Source organism: Homo sapiens, chromosome 1 (genome assembly GCF_000001405.40).
Source record: "Homo sapiens chromosome 1, GRCh38.p14 Primary Assembly".
NCBI lineage: Eukaryota > Metazoa > Chordata > Mammalia > Primates > Hominidae > Homo > Homo sapiens.
Genome location: NC_000001.11, coordinates 147627923 through 147649244, shown reverse-complemented (window position 1 = coordinate 147649244; position 21322 = coordinate 147627923). Strand labels below are relative to the sequence as shown.

The 21322-nt window shown below is 43.8% G+C and overlaps 1 protein-coding gene across 7 annotated transcripts in view, besides 1 other annotated feature; it reads left to right on the top strand.

The window, feature by feature from the left end:
• ACP6 (acid phosphatase 6, lysophosphatidic) overlaps positions 1-19587 on the top strand; it is a 40867-nt gene extending 21280 nt beyond the window's left edge. For 4 of the 7 annotated variants that reach the window (NR_136633.2, NR_136636.2, NR_136634.2 and 1 more), the window contains one exon: positions 834-1877. Coding sequence is in view for 3 of the 7 variants with exons in the window: in NM_001323625.2 (NP_001310554.1) it covers positions 834-1068 (235 nt within the window). In the remaining 4 variants the exon portion in view is untranslated. Of the gene's footprint in view, positions 1-833; positions 7016-18179 lie in introns of those variants that run through there. The other 3 variants (NR_136635.2, NM_016361.5, XM_011509601.4) reach the window with 2 other exon arrangements.
• Positions 7390-7891: an enhancer, noted in NCBI's record as "H3K4me1 hESC enhancer chr1:147113153-147113654 (GRCh37/hg19 assembly coordinates)". NCBI's record gives its function as "activates a minimal SCP1, AML or CMV promoter by ChIP-STARR-seq in primed H9 embryonic stem cells {active_cell/tissue: H9 hESC(primed)}" and the evidence as "EXISTENCE:reporter gene assay evidence [ECO:0000049][PMID:30033119]".

Here is a 21322-nt window from a genome sequence, read left to right as displayed (position 1 = left end):
GGTGATTGATAGTCACCTGAATTTTGGAGAAGCACTGTTGTGGTATCACAGCTAGAAACTCATGATGGCGTAAGAGGAATAGGAGACAGTGAGTTGAAACAGGAACTTTGGGCCAAGATTTGTAATAGCAAATCTTGTGAATACCATTTCCTGTCCTTCACAGTACCTGCAATGACAGTACATTTTTTCTGGCTTTTGCCACCTTGCCACCTTCTGCCTTGGATCTTTAGAACACCACAGGATCCAATGCTAGTCTTCTAGGATGGGGGTCCATAAATAAAATCCTTGGTCTTTCCTAAGAGATGGATACTGGTGTCAGGCAGATGTAGATTAAAATGGCATTCTTATTACAGATTAAAGCCATTTGGAGAATGTGCTGAGGGCCAAATGGGCTTGTGAATATTATTTTGAAATAAACTTAATACCCCAAAACTTCAAGCTTCCCCAACAAGGAGCCCTACTAAACTCATCCCATGGCTGAGAGTAGGAAGGGCATTCATGTAGGCTGGCAGGACCCAAAGAGAGAAGAGAGGTAGGGTCTAAGCCACACACGCTCAGTTTCTTCTTTGAAACTCACCAGGGAGGAGTGAGTAGGTGGCAAGGAGGAGGCCAGGAGAATTTCTCTGGCGGGGACCCTCCTCATGAAGACACGGGGAGTGGGAACAAGGGTTCTTCCCACGATCTACTGCAAAGGACTTTTATACCAGGCTCAGCTGATTTCTAGATGTCACCTAGTTTCTGAGGCAAGTGTGTCTTACGTAAAGGAGGCAGGCCACATCCTGACCTTCAGAGTCCTGAGGCAGAGAATTGTGGAGAGCTGTTTCCTCTTGCAGAAAGCTGTATCTCTATGCGGCTCATGATGTGACCTTCATACCGCTCTTAATGACCCTGGGGATTTTTGACCACAAATGGCCACCGTTTGCTGTTGACCTGACCATGGAACTTTACCAGCACCTGGAATCTAAGGAGTGGTTTGTGCAGCTCTATTACCACGGGAAGGTAATACCCCTGAGGTGGGGTTGGGTGGTGGTGAGGCACCCTCCTGCAAAACCCACCTACCTGAGTTAGCACCAAGTCTCCCTCCTCAGGCCCAGTGGAGTCTCTCTTGGCACAGTCAGCTCTCTGAATCCTATAGGGCAACTCCTGGCTATGGCCCAGGGGTCAGGCAGAACTTGACAGATGGTGGCAGGATGGGGCTTGAGCCTTATCCCAGTTCTGTTACAGACTCCTAGGAACAGGGTCCCCCTCCTCTTCTCCTGAGCGTCCCTGTCAGGATGTCGCCTCCTGGCTGTGAGACCTGTTTTGGAGATTGTTGGTGGTATCTTTGGGAGGTGATGTGTGCTGCTGTTAGCACCCGTGGTGTTGGCTGCTTCATCAGGGCTGGGGTCCAGGGCAGAGGCCAGAGCACGCCCCAGGGATGAGCCTGTTGGTTCTCCCAGCTCGGGGATGTAACTCGACTCTTTCTTCCCAGTCAATTCAACACTTTTTGAGTGACTTTTACAAGCAGAGCATAGTGCTTTTATTCTGGAAGCTCACCGGGTAGTGGGGCCTTCCTGTCTGTAATATGTATGCACATGTATACCACATGGATCAGAGCCTCTCAGATCTCTGGGCTTAGCTGGAAATAGCAGAAGGACAGGTTCCTCGGCGGACCTGCTGAGTTATGTTTCTTCTGCAGGAGCAGGTGCCGAGAGGTTGCCCTGATGGGCTCTGCCCGCTGGACATGTTCTTGAATGCCATGTCAGTTTATACCTTAAGCCCAGAAAAATACCACGCACTCTGCTCTCAAACTCAGGTGATGGAAGTTGGAAATGAAGAGTAACTGATTTATAAAAGCAGGATGTGTTGATTTTAAAATAAAGTGCCTTTATACAATGCCTCCTGCTTTGTGTGTTTGGGAAGAGGAGAGAGCAAGGGGTAATGTACTTTAATATAATGTAAGGATATTTCCTTTCTGTGGGTTTACTAAGATTTCTTCCTGAACGGAAAAGGGGTATAATATTGAGACCAAAAGGATATTTCTCTATTTTGTGAGTTGGTTTCTAAGGTTAGAAGCATCTTTGTGTGACACGGGCTGGGGACATCATGACCCTGTAGAATTGTGTCGGTTTTGGACTTTAGTTCTTTTCTCCTATATTAATTTCACATGTATTGAGCTACCTACTAAGTAGTGATCATTATAAAGGTGAAAACACTCTGCCCTCAAGTTGTTGCAGTCCAGTGGGAGAGGCAGCCGAGTAAATCAGTGATACAGTGCTGTATGTTTTATGCTGTAATAGGTATTTGAGGGGCTATTTGGGTATAGAGAAGAAACTTCCTGCTCACATGGCAGGGGATGTGGGGAACAGTCAAGGAAGGCTTCTGAAAAAGTCCTGGCCTGATCTGAGTAGAGAAAGGTGGGTAGGAGTTAACCAGGAAAGCAAGGATGAAAGCGTGTTGCGTTTAGATAAAGGATAGGCTTCAAGGTCAGGGAACGTTGCTGGGTGGTGAGATGGAACCCTGATGTGGAGGCTCAGCAGGAAGAAGCAGGAAGGACACTGGGCCCCTGGTGGTTTTAGTTCCAGAAACAAATGTGGGCCCCAGGGCTCTGCAATGGTAAGGCTGGAACTACTCAACATAAGAGCTCCACCTTTAACTGTGCCCCCTAAGAGTACCTGATGATCCCCCTATCTCCTTGTCAATGTTGCTGTTCTTCTCCAGAATCTATTTCAACCCTTCTCTGATTTCAAACCACCAGTCCCTTTACCTCTCAGAGAAAACAGCAACCACAAAAGCCTCTCCACTTCCTACTATCTTAATATTGACAACTTCCAGATCAGGGAGCTGAGATATCTCAAGCTCAGGTTTCTCTTCTGAGCTTCAGACACTTTTATCCACTTGGATTTCACTGGCACAAAACTTTCCATGTTAGAATCAAACCCCCCTCCTCCCAGACCTGCTTCTCCCACACACTTCCCTATCTGAATGAAAGACACCTCCACTCTCCACCCAGTTGCCAAATCAGAAATCTGTCTTTGTTTTCTTTGTCTCACATTTTCCTATGTCTAATCAGTTAAGTTTTATCAATACTACCTGTTTATTTCTTTAATCTATTCACATATCTTTATCCTCAATCTTCAGCATCCCCTTCCCATCCTCAGTCTGCTGGTTACTGTATTTCCTATTTTACTAAGAATCTAAAAGAGATCAGAAGAAAACTTCCACATCCCCCAACACCCAACCACCAAATCTGCTAACCCAGTTGCATTGGTGCTTTTATAGCCTTCCTTCCTCCCTCTTACTAAGAATGAACCAACACTATTCCTATCAAAGCCCAACCCTCTAGCTTTACATTGACTCCTAGTGTCTTTTTTCTGGATTGTCAATTTTTTTCCTGACCAATTATTCTATTAGCAATACAAATATGCTGTAAAATCTCTTAAACTTTTTTCTCTGCATCTTTGAACTGCTGTTCTCTTTTCCTTCTCCCCTTCATAGCAGAACTCCTCAAAAGAGTTGCTACCTCTAATTCTTCCCTTCCAGTTCTCTCATGAACCAGCTACAATTAAGTATTCACCCCCACCACTCCATGGAAACTGCTCTTGTCAAAATCATCAATAGCCTTTGTGTGGTGAATCCAATAGCCAGTTTTCATTCTTCTTACTAAGCTTCTCATCAGTATTCCTAGACTATTTCCTTCACTGGCTTCGACAAATGCTTTCTTGGTTTTCCTCCAATTTCTCGACTTTGTTCCTGCTGAATCTACCTTTTTCTAATCCGTAAGTGTTGGGGTGTCCCAGGGCTTACTCCTTGGACCTTTTTTCCACCTTTTCCCCTACACTCACCCACTAGGTGATCTCAAGAATTTCCAGTTTGAGGCCGGGCGCGGTGGCTCACGCCTGTAATCCCAGCACTTTGGGAGGCCAAGGCAGGCAGATCACCTGAGGCCAGGAGTTCGAGACCAGCCTGGCCAACATGGCAAAACCCTGTCTCCACTAAACCTGCCTCTACTAAAAATACAAAAATTATTATATTTTTATAAAATTATTATAATTTTATAAAATTATTATATTTATGGAGTACAATGTGATGTAATCCCAGCTACTCGGAAGGCTGTATGTGTCTATTTATGGAGTACAATGTGCCTGTAATCCCAGCTACTTGGGAGGCTGAGGCAGGAGAATCACTTCAACCTAGGAGGCAGAGGTTGTGCTGAGCCAAGATCGTGCCATTGCACTCCAGCCTGGGCAACAAGAGAGAAATAACATCTCAAAAAAAAAAAAAGAATTTCCAGTTTTAAATATTTACACAATGTCTCCTAAATTTATACCTTCAACCTAGACCTTTCCCTGTGAATCCCAGTCTCATTTCCAACAGTCTAATCAATGTCTCTATTTGGATGTTTAAGATATACAATAGGTATCAAACTTCCCATTGTCCACAATAAACTCTCAATTTCCGTGCCTTTTCAAACTTACTCCTTCCACAGGCTTTCCCATCTAGGTAAATGACACCACCATTCACCCTGTTGCTTTGGCCAAGAACTTTAGAACTGCCCTTGACTCCCCTCTTTTTCTCATATCCTACCTCTACTACATCAGTAACTCCTGTTGTATCTCTCTTCAAACTATATCCAGAATTGACCATGTCCCAATACTTCCATTGCTACTGTCTTAGTCCCAGTGTCATCTTTTACCTGGATTATTGTAAAGGCCTCGTAACTAGTCTTCCTGTTTCTGCCCTTCCCTTCTCTGCCCATCTATTCTCAACACAGTGTTGCTTTTAAAACAAAGTAAGATCGTGCCACTCTTCTGCTCTAAATTCCCCATTGGTTTCTCATCTCAAACTAAGGGCCAGTCATAATGCCCTCACGGTCCTATGACATCTCACTGCACCCCAGCCATACTCGCCATCTTACCATTCTTCTTCTTTTTTGTAATAAAAACTTTTTACTTTCTTTTTAGTTGACAGATAATAATTGCGTATATTTATGGAGTACAATGTGATGTTTTGATATATGTATGCATGAGGGAATGATTAAATCAAGCTAATTAACATATTCATCACTTCATCTACTCATCACTTTCTTGTGGTGAAAATGTTTCAGATATACTCTTTAGTAGTTTTCAGGTGTACAGTCGCTGTGGTTTGAGTGCTTTTGTCTTCTCTAAATTTGATGTTGACACTTAGTGCCCAGTACAATGTTACTGGGAGGTGGAGCCTAATGGGGATGTTTAATGGATTAATGCCATTATAAAAAGGGCTTGCAGGAATGGGTTCCTTCTCTTTTGCTTTTCTGCCATATGATGACAAAGTGTTCCTCCTCTCTGGAGGATGCAGCAACAGGCACCATCTTTGAAGCAGAGAGACCAGGCCCTAACCTTCTGGTGCCTTGATCTTGGACTTCTCAGCTTCCAGAACTGTGAGATAATAAATTTCTGTTCATTACAAATTACCCCATCTGTGGTATTCTGTTATAGCAACACAAAATGGACTAAGACAACAGTATACTGTTATGAACTATGGTCACCATGCTGTGCACTAGATCACAAAAACTTATTTCTACTGTTTAACTGAAACTTTGTACATTTTGACTAACATCTCCCTTTTTCCCATCATCCCATCCCATTCTTACTATCGTTGAAGATGGAGTATGCCAAGTAGTCCTGAGCCATGTCCTCACCTCGGGGTGAGCACCTGTTGTTCCTGTGCCTGGAATGCTCTCCTAGACATTTGCGTGGCTAGCTCCCTCTTTTCATTCAGATCTCAGCTCATTGTCATCTCAGAGAGGCCCTCCTTGCCCTCCTTCTACCTCCTGCCTTAGGTATACTCTGCCACCTTCTGTCATGGGCTGAATTGTGTCCCCCCTAAATCCATATGTTGACATCTTAACCCCTAGTACAGTAAGTCCTCACTTGATGCTATCAATAGGCTCTTGGAAATGTCGGCTTTCAGTGAAAGGACATATAGCAGGTCCTTGAATAACATTGTGTTTTGTTCAACATCGTTGCCTTGTAACACTGATGAGCAAAACAGTTGGTTCTCTAATATGTTGTTTTACTTAAAGCTACAGTTTCCAAGAACCTATCAATGATGTTGAGGACTGAATGTACCTCAGGTGTAATGTATTTGGAGATAGGGCCTTTTAAGAGGTAAAGTAAATGAGGTCATATGGGTAGGCTGTAATCCAATATGACTGGAATCCTTATAAGAAGAGGAAATGAGGACACAGACACAGAGGGAAGATGACTATCTGCAAGTCAAGGAGAGAGGCCTCAGAAGAAACCAATGCTGCTGACACCACGATCTTGGACTTCTAGCCTCTAGCACTGTGAGGAAATAAATTTCTGTTGTTTAAGCCACCTAGTCTGTGATACTTTGCTACGGCAGGCCCTAGCAAATGAATACACTTGTCTTGTCTTTCCCCCGCCCTGTGATATTTATCAGTGCCGGATATTACATATTTGTGTATCTATATGCTTATTTCCCTGACTAAAATGGAAGCTCCATGAAGGCAGATTTCCTCTTGTTCACTGATGTGTCCCCAGCACCTGGAATAGTGCCTAGTGCATGCCAGTGCTCAGACACTTGGACATTTGAATGACATATCCCCTCTGTCACTTCTCTCCGGGGCCCAAGGCCACCCTCCTAGGTTACCACAGTGGCTTCCTAATGGGCCATACCCTCACTTGCTTTCCATCACCCCCTGAGACCTGGCCCCTGCATACCTCTCCAGCTTCACCCCTCACATATCTCCCTAGCCAGACCTATAGTATGTTTAAAAAAAAAGGAAATCGCACTCCTCTGGCCTCTTTACCTTGGCACACATTTTTCCATCACCTGACCCCTGACCCACACTCCCTTTTCCTGTGTAATCCAATTATCTCTAGGCCTCCCGTGTTTCTGTTTGTCCTTCAATAGAAGGTTGTTTGTCTTGTCTTTTATTGTATTTCTAGAACCAAGTGCAGAGACTGTACAAAGTGGACCTCAGCAAAGATTTACCGAATGAATAAATGAGTTCAGAACGCTGACTTAACTCTTCTGTTGGCACCCAGGTGGCTTCTATGCACTCTCCTTCCACTCACCACCAGGGGGAAGCATGGAGTAAAGGAAAACACCAAGGCTTTCGCTGGGTTCAAATTCTGACAGCGTATTTATTTCCTTGCAACGCTTGGACGGGTGTTTCTGAGCCTGTTTTTCCTCTCATGTAAAAATGGGCATAATGATACGTACTAATTAGGGTTGTTGTGAGAATCAATTAAGGAAACGTATAAGTGCCTTCAAGTATTCTTATTTTCCCTTTTCTCTTTCATCTCACTTCCCACGAGATTCTTAACTGTGGTAGGTTTCGCAAGCCAAGGGAGCCTTTGGGGATGCTCCTCTGCAGGCAGCGCCCCGCCTCCGCCTGCCCTTCCCGGGGCACTGTGCCTGTGTGTGCAGGAGATTTGTACAGAACCCTGGCTCCCTCACTCACCAGTTGTGTGACTGTGGGCATGTCACTTAATTTCTCTGAGCTTCCATTTTCCCAACTATAAAGCGGGGAAGTTAATGTTTATCTACCTGATGATTTGTCCTGAGGATGGAAAATAGGGTGTGAAAAGCTCTTCATAAATTCCTAACCTGTCCCTGCCTTGACTCCTTTCTCTAAGGGGCCTCAGAGTGCTGTTGAGGTTTAAAGAATTCCCACAGGAGGCTCTCACCCGTGTATGGCAAAGTGAAAGGCTTCCCAGGACGGAGGAGAGCCAGGCTTGCCAGGGAAGGCCGACTTCATCTGCGGCTCCCCTGATAGCTCTTCCCGAGGGCCTCGTGGCTTATCTTACAGAGCTCTTGGCTCTGGCAGGCCCTGGGATGAAGGACTGTCATTAGACAAGACCCTTCACTGCCATGTGCCTATTCCCCTGTAACAGTTAGTTCCACGTGGATCGTTAAAAACTGCAGCAAGGGGACAGAAACCCTGAAGGGCCCAACTGAAGAGGGAGGAGGAGAGAGTTCCCGTCCCACCCTCCCCTAGTCCTCGAAGCACCGGGACCTGGAGTGCTGACCTGTTTATTTTCATTGTAGGAAACTCAGGTCTTTGTCAGTGGCACCTGGCACCCCTTTTCCTCAGCTGGAATCCTCTAGGGCACCGCCATCTACCTGCAGAGGAGGCTGGGCGGGCTGTGGGGGGAGGGGTGGGCTAAGGGCACCTACCCTGTCTACAACATGCCAGGAAGGGATCATTCTTCGGCTTTGGGCTAGAGCGTGTCCTGGGGCTGCTAGGCAGCGATGAGTCTCTTCTGCTGGGTGGGGAATTCCCCGGGGAGATGGCTGTGTGCTCTCTTCAGACCCTGCCCTCTAGTGGCCAAGGGGACTTTGCAGCCCGGCCCTTCCCAGTCCACCCTGCCAGCCTCTAGAAACCTGACCCCTGTCTAAGGCTGGCTGGGGAGAACTGAAAAACACTTTCCCCAGTAAAAAGCTGGTCTTCTCAGGATTCCGCTCTCCGTTTGGCCTTTAAATAAAATGTACCTTTTCCTGAAGAAATTGGGAGGGGGGCAGTGGCCCACAGTCACCATGTCTGAGAACTCAAGAGACCACTGATCTTGGAGTCATGTGCTCTGAGTTCAAGTCCTGCCCTGTACCTACTACCTGTGTGACTTTGGGCAAGTCCATTAATTTCCTGTTGATAAGCCTGTATATCTTTATTTGTGCAATGGGACTCTAATATAGCATCTCCCTCATGGAATTATCCTAGGAATGACATAGATTAGGTATGGAAAGCACTTCCTAATATGAAAAGTGTTATACAAATATAAGCCATTGCTCCTGCTATGCCAGAGGAGCCTCTTTGTGGCTCCTCCGGAGCATTCCTCAGGGCTGTGGGCAGTGGGTGCCTGCGGACCTAGATGGCTTGCCCCTGGGTGGTAAGATCTTGGTGGCTGAAGACTAGGCTGTTTCAGGGGTGTTTAAGCCACATGAAGGATGCTGAAAGAAGCACCTACCTTGGAGATAAGAGCCAGGGATTTGGATTCCAGTTTTACCACTTTCCTGGGCCCTGTGACCTTGGGCAACTCCTTTAGCATGGCAGAGTTTCTGTTTATCCACATGGAAGGATGGTGATACTATCTGCTGGGGTTAGGGGAGGGGGATGTAAGCAAAATAACCATGTGAAAGGGTATGGAAGGTGCTACCTCCTCAGATACAAGTTTTGAACCTGCATCTTCTTGTATTTGGGGCTTAAGGAAACTAGGGTCCAGCAGCTTACTGTAAGCCAAGAAGTTTGAGTTGCTCTGTGTTGTACAGAGATTTTTAGAGAAGGCAAGTATGTGTGCTTTGAAATCAAAGGAATAGCTAAGTCAAGCAGTAAAGGGAGTGTGCCGGGAGGCTGGGGCCAGTGTTGGTAGAGCTGTTTATATTGGTAGGAAAGCAGGGCATTTTTCTCTGAGGCAAGCCTTTCACAAAGGAAAATCTGGATTTGAGAGAGATTAAAAGTCTCAAAGGTAGGGGAAAGATGTAAGGAAATGGCCTGCACTGAATCACTGCAAAGGACAGTATTCATCAGAGAATTAATTTGGAAGGAAATAGAGTGTGAAATAACAGCAAGGCTTTCAACTCTGGGTACCATGGCCTTAAAAACCCAAGCAGTGCTTCAGAGGCTTGCCAGGACCCAGCCTGGGAGCTACCTCCGGAAAAGCAGCTGGGGGATGCCCAGAGACCACAAATTGCTGAGCTTGGGAGGAACTGATTGAGTGTGTAATTAAGGGGAGGGTTGTATAACACTTGGGTAAGTAGAACTTGATGGGGTCAAACCAGCAGGGCTTTTGGGAGATGAGAGAGCAGTCCCTGGAGCTGTTAGTAACTGAAGCCAGCTGCATAAAGGTAGGCACAGCTTACCTGGGCCTTGCACAGAGAAGAATGGAAGAGATCAGGAAGGGGAAAGGTTGAAGGAATGGTTGTTCTCTAGGTCAAAAATTCCAAAATGCTGAATACCTCAGGGGTTCAGTTCTAGGAGTAAGGTAACATTATGGAACAATGGGGAAATATCCCTGGAAACTGAAGATCAGAGAGCCTGTGGCTTGGCCAAGGTCATATAGCACCATGGAGATTTAATGGATTCTGAACTGCGATTGTACATCTTGGCCAGGTGGCTCACACCTGTAATCCTAGCACTCTGAGAGGCTGAGGTCAGAGGATCGCTTGAGCCCAGGGGTTCGAGGCTAGCCTGAGCAACATGGCAAAACCTCATCTCTACAAAAAATTTAAAATTCAGCTTTACGTGGTGGCAAGTGCCTGTAGTCTCAGCTACTCATGAGGCTGAGGTGGGAGGATCACTTGGGCGTGGGAAGTCAAGGCTGTGGTGGCCCGTGTTCGTGCCACTGCACTCTAGCCTGGGTGACAGAGCAAGACTCTGTCTCAAAAAAACAAAAACAAAAGCAAAAACCAGTGTATTTTTCTGTGCCACACTGATGGTGAAGACTGGAAGGTAATGGTTTGGAGTATAAAGGGAATGTCCTTTGATCATGTATGGGGATCAGGAAAGGAAATTGTTCGCAGTATATTTGTGGACAAGATGGGTATGTATGGGCTGGATACTGAAGCAACTAGGCATGTTCACCACTGGTTAAATTACTGGAGCCCCAATCCCTGGTATACAAGGCCTCATGGAATAGGCCCCCTGCCCACCTCTCCAGCCTCATCCTCCACCACACTCCCTTTTGCTCTCCCGCTAGATCTCAAGGAGTTGGCTGCCTCTTGTCATTTTAGATCTCAGCTTAAATATCACCCTCTCTCACATGGGAATATATGTATATACATATATATTTAATTGAGTGTTTATTTCTACAGAGACACAGTAGAAGCCCAGTGGTTAAACACACAGGCTCTACAGATAGACTACCCAGGTTGATGCTCCATCCTTTAGGATCCATATGACCTTGAGCAAGTGACAACTTCTCTGCATTTTAATCTATAAAATGGGAACAAGAAGAGTATTTACCTCATAAGGCTTTGTGAGGAATAAACACATAAAGCATTTAGAACAATGGCTGGCACATAGGCAAGCTAAACAATATTAGCGATTATTTGTTTTTAAGTGTTTATTATCCCTTGTAACCTTCTCTGCAAAAAGCAGGAACCTTGTCTGGTTGGTTCACTGCTGTATGCAGTGAACATGCTGGATGCTATCTGTAGATCATAACCTGGCATGTAGTAGGGACTCAATTTGTACTTACTGAATGAATTTGCTGAATTAATAAAGAAACTAATTCAGTGGTCAGCTGTTCTTCAGGGAAGTGTTCCATGTTGTATGATAGGCCTTTGCCCTGTTGGACACGTTTTTTTCAAAGATTTGCATAAAATACAACTGAGTAAAGATACAGGGTGCAGACTGGCCACATTTACTGAAGACATACAACTGGGGAAAATCACTTACTGGATGACTAATTGAATGAATGAATAAATGATAGATGTCTTAGATATGTTTGTGCTGATATCAGTTTTAGATCCTAGGCCAAATATTTTAAGATGGAACTTAATGGAGACAAATGCAGAGTTCTGATCTTGGGGCCTCAAAATCAGTTGCCCACAACTGAAGAGGGGTTTTAGTGAGGGATTTGTTCAGTGTGAATCCATAGTATGATGTGTTCCTCAAAATCCTAAATGTGCAATGGCTATCCTGGTACTGGAATGAAGGAAGTGATGTTCCATCCTGCACAGTTCAGAGCACAGCCAGGGAACTGTTCTCAGATCTGAGAGCCAGACTTGGTAGCAGAGCTAGACAAGCTTGTCAATTGGAGAAAGACCATCAAGAGGAAGGGATCAAAGAGACAGAGGGCATATCAAATATTTGATTTATGTGGGCACTGAGGACCACACGCAGAACAGTATTGTGTAAGTTGCAGGGATGTATAGACTTGAGATCAACATAAGGAAAACCTTTGAAATAATCAGAGCTGACCATGGATGAATTGGGCTACCTTAGAGGGTTCTTTTATAAGCTTACACTGGCATTAGGCAAAGTATTGTAGAGGGTCACACACGGGCCAGTCCCTGCCTACCATGAGAATCTGAAGTTCTAGGATTCCACAGCATCCTTCATTCTCTGTGAACAGTTTGAGTCAGAGTCAGGCCTCATTTTGCTTTTCATGTGGTCAGGGATGGAGTTTGGTCCTCTAATTAGATGATTCTGAACTTTAAAAGCAGGAGGAGAGAAGTGCTTGAGAATCTGGTGACCCCAGTGTAACCTTATTAAAGTGTTGCTGTTATCCCCACCTTGGGCTGGCTGGGCCTGGGGACTCCAGTAGCTCTTGAAAATGCCTTCCTGCTGTGGCCACCACCATCCCATCATGGAATTTCCACTGTGGTGCTTCTTTCTCTATGGCTTTTCTGTGCTACCTTTCAGTGCCCAGGAGGGCAGCAAGAGGGGTCCCTGGGTGTCCCTTCTGAAAGAAGAATCATGATTTTCTGCTTCAGCTAGAACCCTCTTACTGCCCAGCTGGTGTATCTTGTGAGCTTTCTAATTTACCAGAGCAGCCATTTCATATCTTTTTGCATTACAGCCTAAGGCATCTCTCAAAAATGCTCTGATAACTCATACTAGGCATACACACATGTTGTCCGATAACAGTTTCACAAAAAGCCTATGACATCCAAATGTGAAGCAGCCAGCTCAAAGAGATCAAAGTCAAATATCCAGGGAGAGGCAGAGGCAGGACTCAAACTTTCACCTTTGACCTGAGGATCAGCATGTTTTCCTTCCATATCTGCACATCTGGCTTCCGGGATGTGTCCCTTTGTCTCTTTGCTTTATCTGCTTCATCACACATGGCACCTTTCTCCTTTCACTTCTGGTATCTTTCTTTCCCCAAAGCTTACCGCTACCTGTGCTTCAGTTCCTGTCCCGCTTCTTGTGATCTTCCTGCCAAAGATGGCAGGACTTCTTTTGTGTCCTCAATCCTTCCCACTCAATTGGTTCCTTCCTTTCTGTCTTAAATTAGTAGTACTTCTGTTGTCTTAAACTTTGCTTATTTATATTTTTCTTCTATCTAACCATCCTATTTCTCTTGCCTGGTACTGCCAAACGTACTGAGCATGTATAACTCAGTATCTCTTTGCCTCTTTCACATTTACACCCTTTCCCCCACATGCTTAGGTTTCTCTGTCTTCTGCTTTACCACAGCTACACTCTGGGAGACCAACACATTAATCAATTTCAAGTACCATCGTTAGTTTCCTCACCTTTTTTGATTGATCAGAAGTATTTGGCCCTGTGGACCACCTCCTATTTCTTGAAAGCCACTCCCCCAACCCCTCAGGACTTATGCAACTCTATATTTTCATAGCTGCCTTAGTCACTGATTCATTTTTATCTGGACAACCATTTCCTCATCAGTTAGATGGGAGAGGTGGGCTAGATCATTTCTGTTTTCTTCCTATTCTGTGAATTTCAGTTTCTTTTGCTGGAACTTCTTCCTGCCTGCGGACTGTGCCAATCCCTCATGACTGAGTTCTTGGCCCTCCACTTGGCTCTCTATTCTCTCACTCCCATAGAGAAATAATCTATATTCATCTCCATGTGGAGGAATTCACATCTCCATATCTAGTCCAAACTGCTCATTCATCCCTGTCTCTTATTTCCAACTGTCCACACATAGACACCACTTCATCATTTCATACTCAACACTCCCTCAACCCCAACAAGGACTTCTCCCCAACTTCCCTAATTTTTACTCATGATAATACTAGAAGCTTGGGCAAGATTGGGACAGGAAGAGGAAGCTAAGGGCTCTTAAGCTGTATTCTGAGAAAAAAAGTAATGAAGAAGTAAAAGATAGGCTCAGCGTCTGGGGGAGAAGATTTAATAGAGGAGAGAGAGAAAATGAAAGCAGTTAAATCCAAATCCCTCTCTTTCCTAGTAAGTCTTTCCTAACAACAGAATCTACCTTTAAGCCACAAATGGCCCAAGATTGCTGGGAGGGATTGAAATCTTAGAGCAGTGAGGACAGCACCTGGTTGATGTCAATGAGTTCGGATCTTCCTATTTGGTAGGTAATACCCTGGAGTAGATAAAAAGTTAAGTTATAGATGTCACTTCAGACAGTAATCTATGAGAAATGAAGATACTCTCAGATTTCTAGTCTCAAAGAACCAAAATACAAAGGCAAATGTGGCCCTAGTTTTTAAAACCCATAAAATGATAGACTCCAGAATTTAAGGACTGGAGAGCTCCTTGGTCTAGAGTGGACTTTTAAACAAAGGAAAAGTCTGTGGAGCACTTAGGAAAGAAAGCAGCAATCATTATTAGTACTTGGCTGAACTATTTCCTTTCTCCTTTGGGTTAACAGACCAGTAGATAGAAGATTCTCAGGAAATTTGATAAAATATTTTAGGTTGCACTTCCCTGTCTTCAATGTGGGCAGCTTCCTTTTCTTTCATGCCATGACTGTGCTTATAATTGCTTATTCAGTGTTTGACTTCTTCAATAGACTCTGGGTTTGATGAGCTCAGGGTGGGACCACTCCTGACCAGTTCACTGCTGCATCCACAGTTCCTAGCCTTGTAGAGACTGATGAATCAATCAAAGAGCCAATTACTCAATAGGTAGATGGAGAATGTGAGCTGGATGATAAGAGGTAGAATTATAAGTGATTACACAAGTATATTTAAAACATTTAAAAATTTCTGAATTGATGTCACTCTAAAGATTAGCTCTAACTATAAAATCTTAGAAGACAACACAGGGGAAAAGCTTTATGACATTATATTTCACAGTGATTTCTTGGATATGATACCAAAAGCCCAGGCAAGGAAAGAAAATATAGATAAGTTGGATTTTATCAAAATTAAAAAAAAAACTTTTAGGCATCAAAGGACACAATCAACAGAGTGAAAAGGCACCCCATGGAATGGGAGAAAATATTTGAAAATCATTTATCTGATGAGGAATTAATATCCAGAAGATTTAAAGAACTCCTACAACACAACCACCACCAAAAATCCTCATCAAAAAACGGGCCAAGGACTTGAATACACATTTCTCCATGGAGGATACACAAATGGCCAGTAAGCACATGAAAAGATGCTCAACGTCACTCATCAGAGAAATGCAAACCAAAACCACAATGAGAAAACAAACAAAAATAATAAATGTTGATAAGAATCTAGAGAAATTGGAACCCTTGTACATTCTTAGTGGGAATGCAAAATGGTGCAGCACTTGTGGACAACAGTATGGCAATTCCTCAGAAACTTCAGAGGGAGAAATGGGGTTATTGTTTAATGGGTACAAAGTTAGAATTTTACATGATGAAAAAGTTGTGGAGATGGATGGCGATTATGATTGCACAACAATGTGAATGTACTTAAAGCCATAACACATTAATGTATACTTAAAAATGGTTAAAATGGTCAATTTTTTGCTGTATTTTTTTACCACAATTTTTTTAAATGGGTGAAAAAAGCACCTCAGTTATGAGCTCCAGGTTTTTATCCTGGGTTCTTGTATCACTTTGATGAAAATATTACCAGCTTTGCTTTTGATAGAAAAGTTAGAACCAATATAAAGATTGTTAGAATAAGTTTCTAAGGACTTTCAGACTGTGGAACAACAGATCAGAATGAATATTGAAATTAAATAGGAATAACTAGAATTCTGAATATAGGATAAAAATAAGCAAAATAATACACAGGATTAGGAGTGATGACTTTTTTTACATGAAAAAGATCTTGGGGTTTTCATTTCCTAAAATTCCAATATAACTCCATAGCAGTTAAAAAAAAAAAAAGAAACTTTTGCCTATTAGTGAAATTGTGCTCAGATAAAAGAAAGTAATAGTCTCACTGTGCTCTCTGCTGATCAGATAGTACTGGGGCACCAAACACTTTATTTCTTCTTTCAAGGTATGTGTAAACTGTGATAAAACAAGATAAAACTATGAGGGCAGTTAGGGAACTCAAAACCTGATCTCATTGGTCTTAATTGATGGACCAGGGCATTTAGCTTGGGAAAAAGAAAATTAGGAGGGAAGTAATAACTGTTTTCAACTATCTGAAGGGCTGGGATGAGAAAGAAGGACTGCTCTTATTCTGTATTTACTCCTACAGTCAGAATTGGGATGAATGGGCAAAAAACTAAAAGAAGCCTGATTCATTAGGCGGCAGAATTTTCTAAATATTAGAGCTAATGATGTTCAATAGAATGGGCTCCCATTATCGGACGGCTCAAGTGGAGGTGCTGGCCACCTGTCAGGGATACTTAGGGCAGTAGGATGGCCTCTTCCAACACCACGATTCTACCTTTCTTTCAGCTTCTCAGTCTCAAAATCACCACATCGTGTTTGATTCCTACCTCTTCTCCAGTGATTGTCCCCATTATCCAATGAAGTCTTGGGGGTTCTTCCTTCACAGCTGTCTTTGCTTCACCCTTTACTCTCCACTGAATCGCCAGGAGCCTCACCTCCTCAACCCCAGAATAGGTGCGTGCTTCCAGTCAGCTCTTCCAGCCTGTCCTTGCTTCAATCCATCCTGCTTGCCCCTGCCAGACTCACTTGATAAAACACTTAGCATGTAAGTCCTCTGATTAAGACCAAAGAGTGGGTCCCAATTGTTTCCCATATCAAGATGAAATTCCTTTTCTTGGCTTTTGGGGCTATTCATTCTTCCCTCCCTTTTCAATTTCACATTCTATTGTGCACATGATCAATTTTGTTTAAGCTGTTCCCTTCGCTGTCATTTGGCCTGCTTTTCTTTATCCGTCCATTCCCACTGCCATTTCCTCATTCGTGTTGTTCTCTGTGTGTCCTCCACCCCCAGCCTCATTATAGGGTCCACCTCATGTACCACAACCAGCATGAAATCTTTCCTGGCCACCCAAGCTCATATGGATCCTTCTTCCCTCTCATTTATTTAACAGCTATTTACTGATCTTTGATAGAGTGCAGACACTATGCCAGATGCTGGTGAACAAGTGATGAGCAAGAAAAATTTGGCTCCTGACTTCACACAGTGGGCAAGATAAAATACATAATTGCTATGAAGGATACAAACAGAGTCGTGATACAAAATGATGGTGTGTGTGTGTGTGTGTGTGTGTGTGTGTTGGGCATAGGTAGGTATTTGACAGGGTACTCAGAGAAGACCTCTCTGAGGAGATGACAAATAAGCTGAGACCTGAGGGGCATGGAGAAGCCAGCCATTGGGAAAGCCTGGAGTCAAGTATGCCAGGCCAAAGAACTGGTGTGGGTAAGGTCCTGTGGCAAGAAGGCCTTGGCACGCTGGAGATACTGAAATTAGCATGGTTCGGCTGGAGCACAGTGGGTGGGGGAAGGGCATGAAGCAAAACTGGAGAGGCGCTGGGGCCTGGCAGTCCTGCCAAAAATCTTGGGTTTCATACTAATTACATTAGGAAGCCATGAAAGGGTCTTAAGGAAGAAAGTGGTGTGATTCATACTGTTTTTTTTGTTGTTGTTGTTGTTGTTTTAAGACAGAGTCTCACTCTGTCGCCCAGGCTGGAGTGCAGTGGCACGATCTCAGCTCACTGCAGCCTCCGCCTCCTGGGTTCAAGCGATTCTCCTGCCTTAGCCTCCTGAGTAGCTGGGACTGCCGGTGTGTGCCACCAAGCCCCGCTAATTTTTGTATTTTTAGTAGAGACGGGGTTTCACCATGTTGGCCAGGATGGTCTCGATCTCTTGACCTTGTGACCCACCCACCTCGGCCTCCCAAAGTGCAGGGATTACAGGCGTGAGCCACAGTGTCCAGCCAATTCATACTTTTTAAGGTTACTTTGTTTATATTGTGGAGAATAGACTGAAGAGCTAGAGTGAAAATACTGGTTAAAAAACAAACAAACACGTAATAAATGAGGTGAAAGATAGTAACTTCATCTAGAGTGATGAAGAAAAGTGCATGGATTTAAGATATGTTTTGGAAATTGGCATGAAAGGATTTGCTGATGGTTTTACATGAGGAGTAAAGAATTAGGAATGAGTCCCAGGTGTCTGATATGAAAACTAGGGGATGGATATAATGTCATTTACTGTGATGGGGAAGTGGGGTGTGGAGATAAGATGTGAGAGAAATTCAGAGGTTAAGTTTAAGACATGTTAAGTTTGAGGTGCCTGTCAGATAATTTCTCTCCTGGGCCTGGTTCTTCCTTTGTATGGAAGTGATCCTTGTATTTCCTCATTGGTATTATCACACTTTTAAATAATGATGATTTTATTTTAAAGGACTTGCAGGTAGCAAGCATAACAGGAATGAAGAAAATTCTAGGGCTTTTCCAGCCTCATTGACAAGGAAAAAGCAAACTACTCTTCATTGCAGTGTTGACATTTCAAAACTGGCATTTAATTATTTACATACTTTCATATATTAAGGTACATATACATGTGTATAAGTAAATCTGTATGTGTATATGTGTGTATAAAAGTTTTCAATAGCTCGACTACTCACAGCTATCCTAGAGAATTTTACCAAAGCCCAGGAGATCTTCTGCAGTTTGGAGAACAAAATAAATCACAGTAATCCACCATCCCCTGTAATCAAATACATTTTGACTGAACCCAATAACAATGACTCAGTTTCTAGCAAGGTGCCAGACGCAGCCCTTGTCTTCATTTGACGCTGAGAACCGAGCAGCCAGAAGCCAGTACTCCAGAGCCCGTAAAGCACCGCCAAAAGCGTGGCCTTAGATCACAGATTGATTCATGGGGATGGGCAGGAGTCTCCAGGGAAAACAGCTCATGGGGTAGCTGTTGAGCTTCTATGTGGGAAGTGAGGAAAATGAAAGCTCCTGGAAGCTTGGTAAAGATGAGAAACAAACATGAGCTCCTGGGGTCTTTAATAAAGAGAACTTCGGCTGTAGAAAACAAAAAGATTATTGAAAACTAAATTCACCCTCAACACTAATTAATTGGACACTGGATATAACTGAGATTTGTAAGCTGTTTCTGCCCTTGACCCTGGCTCCAGCCTCTGGAGAATGGAAGAGTGTGGCTAGCACAGAGCTGCGGGTCAGCCCCTCATGAGAGGGAGTTGCTGGTCTAGGTGCAGGTGCTGAGGTATGAGAAACCCAGCCGCCCAGAGCCACACAGCAACACGCCCAGCTGGCCCCGGTGAAGACATGCAGTTTCCTAGGGCTGGGTCTCTTTAACCTGTTCTTTGGAACCCCAGGGTACCCACATAATTGTTCGTGGACACTAAGCAGGTATTTTGCAAGAGAAATCTGGTTTCTTTCGTGTTTGGTGAAATAACTGAATTTTCCCATGCTTTAACTATGTGTGAGGAAATAATTTCTGGTTCTTCTGTTTATTTTCTCTTTCTATGGTCATACATACACTCACCGTCTTCCTCTGACAGTATTGATTACCAAGCACAATTAAGCACTGAGACAGAAAGTTAACAGCTGAAGTGGGGTCACCTATAGGCAGAAAATAGATTCGTGTCTGTTTAACAGTAACCCAAATAAGAAGCCATGTTAAATAGAGACAACTTTTATTACAATCCTTATAGCATACCTTCCTTTTAACATTATTTTTATGATTTAGCTCCCTCCAATAGGAAATGTTTGGCCACCCACTGGTTTTGTGCTTTATATACTTATTGCTTTAAATGTGTTATTAAAATCTTACCACCAAATTAGGATTCCATGACTTTTCTTAAATGTAAGGGTTTGTGACTTTGAAAAAAATTACAGGTCTGAGTTAGAGAAAAGAAAGTGGCAGTGAGGCTCAAGTTGCCTAAACAGCATGGGAAATATGATACAATTTAATGTTATTTCAAGCAAAAGAGATGAGTCTGAGGATTTTGTAGAATAAGCAAATTTTTGCAAGTGATCTTCCTGTGGTTCTCTCACCCCGCCCCCAGGCTATCTTCCACAATCTGATCACCTGATCCTTTGCTTAAAACTTTGAAGTTCAAACTCTTTAGTGGGCCACACTGGGCTCTCTGTGATCCACTCTCTCTCTAGGCTTATTTCTTTTCTTTTTTTTTGAGACGGAGTCTCGCTCTGTCGCCCAGGCTGGAGTGCAGTGGCGCGATCTCGGCTCACTGCAAGCTCCGCCTCCCAGGTTCACGCCATTCTCCTGCCTCAGCCTCCCGAGTAGCTGGGACTACAGGCGCCCGCCACTACGCCTGGCTAATTTTTTGTATTTTTAGTAGAGATGGGGTTTCACTATGTTAGCCAGGATGGTCTCGATCTCCTGACCTCATGATCCGCCCACCTCGGCCTCCCAAAGTGCTGGGATTACAGGCGTGAGCCACCGCGCCCGGCCTAGGCTTATTTCTTACTTCTTTACTTCTTCCTCCCTTAAAGAGGCCATCCCATCAGCAAGCCCTTGCTGTTCCCATTTCCTCTGCTTCAGTGCTCACCACCATCCTCCAGGAATGCTCTCTCCTTTAAGAGTCAGTTCAAAAAATCACCTTTCCTTTGAGGATTCATTGAATTTTCCTTTCTGGCCCATTGCGCCCTGTCCACACCTTCACTGTAGCAATCATCATATTACATCGCAATAACTGGTTTACACACCTGTTTCCACATCCCAGCCTTTGCACAGTTCTTGATACACAGTAGGTGCTCTATAAATATTTGCTAAATAATGAGTCCTCGGGTTAAAATGCAACTTCCCTCTCCTTTCAGCACCCTGAAATTACTCAGAAAAGGAAAAGGAAATGACTGAAGTGTAGACAGTTTAAGCGGAACACAGCAAGTACCCTGCCTGAGGTGCTCCTGGCCACTAGTTAAGGAGAAAGAATAAATATGGAGACTGAGGTCCCAGCACCTCTGTGGAGCTGTTGTGATTTCTGTTTACAACAGCCTGGCTAAGCAATCTGTGGGACCCAGGGCGAAATGGAAATGTGGAGCCCCTATTCAATAATTAAGAACTCCAAACAGTGACAGCGGAGCATTAAACCAAGCCGGAGTCCTGTCCAACTGCACAGGTGGCACAGATGACCACAGTTGCGTTGTGATGATAATATCAAGAAGTATAGAGCGCAGGGAGGCTGGGAGAAATGTTGGATCCATTTTTTAAGGAGTAGCTTTAAATATGTAAAATTGTTTTCAATTTATTTTCTCATGCCGCCTCCTTCATAAGACCCCTATAATTATGTCTGTTTTCATGTATAAGTGCAGAATCGTTTCTAAAGTAAATTATTTTATTTTACATTGTTTCAGGGAAAATGCTACATACTTCTAGTTAGTCCTTAACAAATGCTATGAGCCACACACACTCCACCACTTTCCCCTGAAGTGAACAAGTCACTACTGCATTTTCTCCATTCAGTCCCAAACTTCAGGAGAGGAAAGAGAGAAGATTGGCTGGGCTTTCACAGGAATATGTTAATATGAAACATCTTTCATCACTCTTCCACT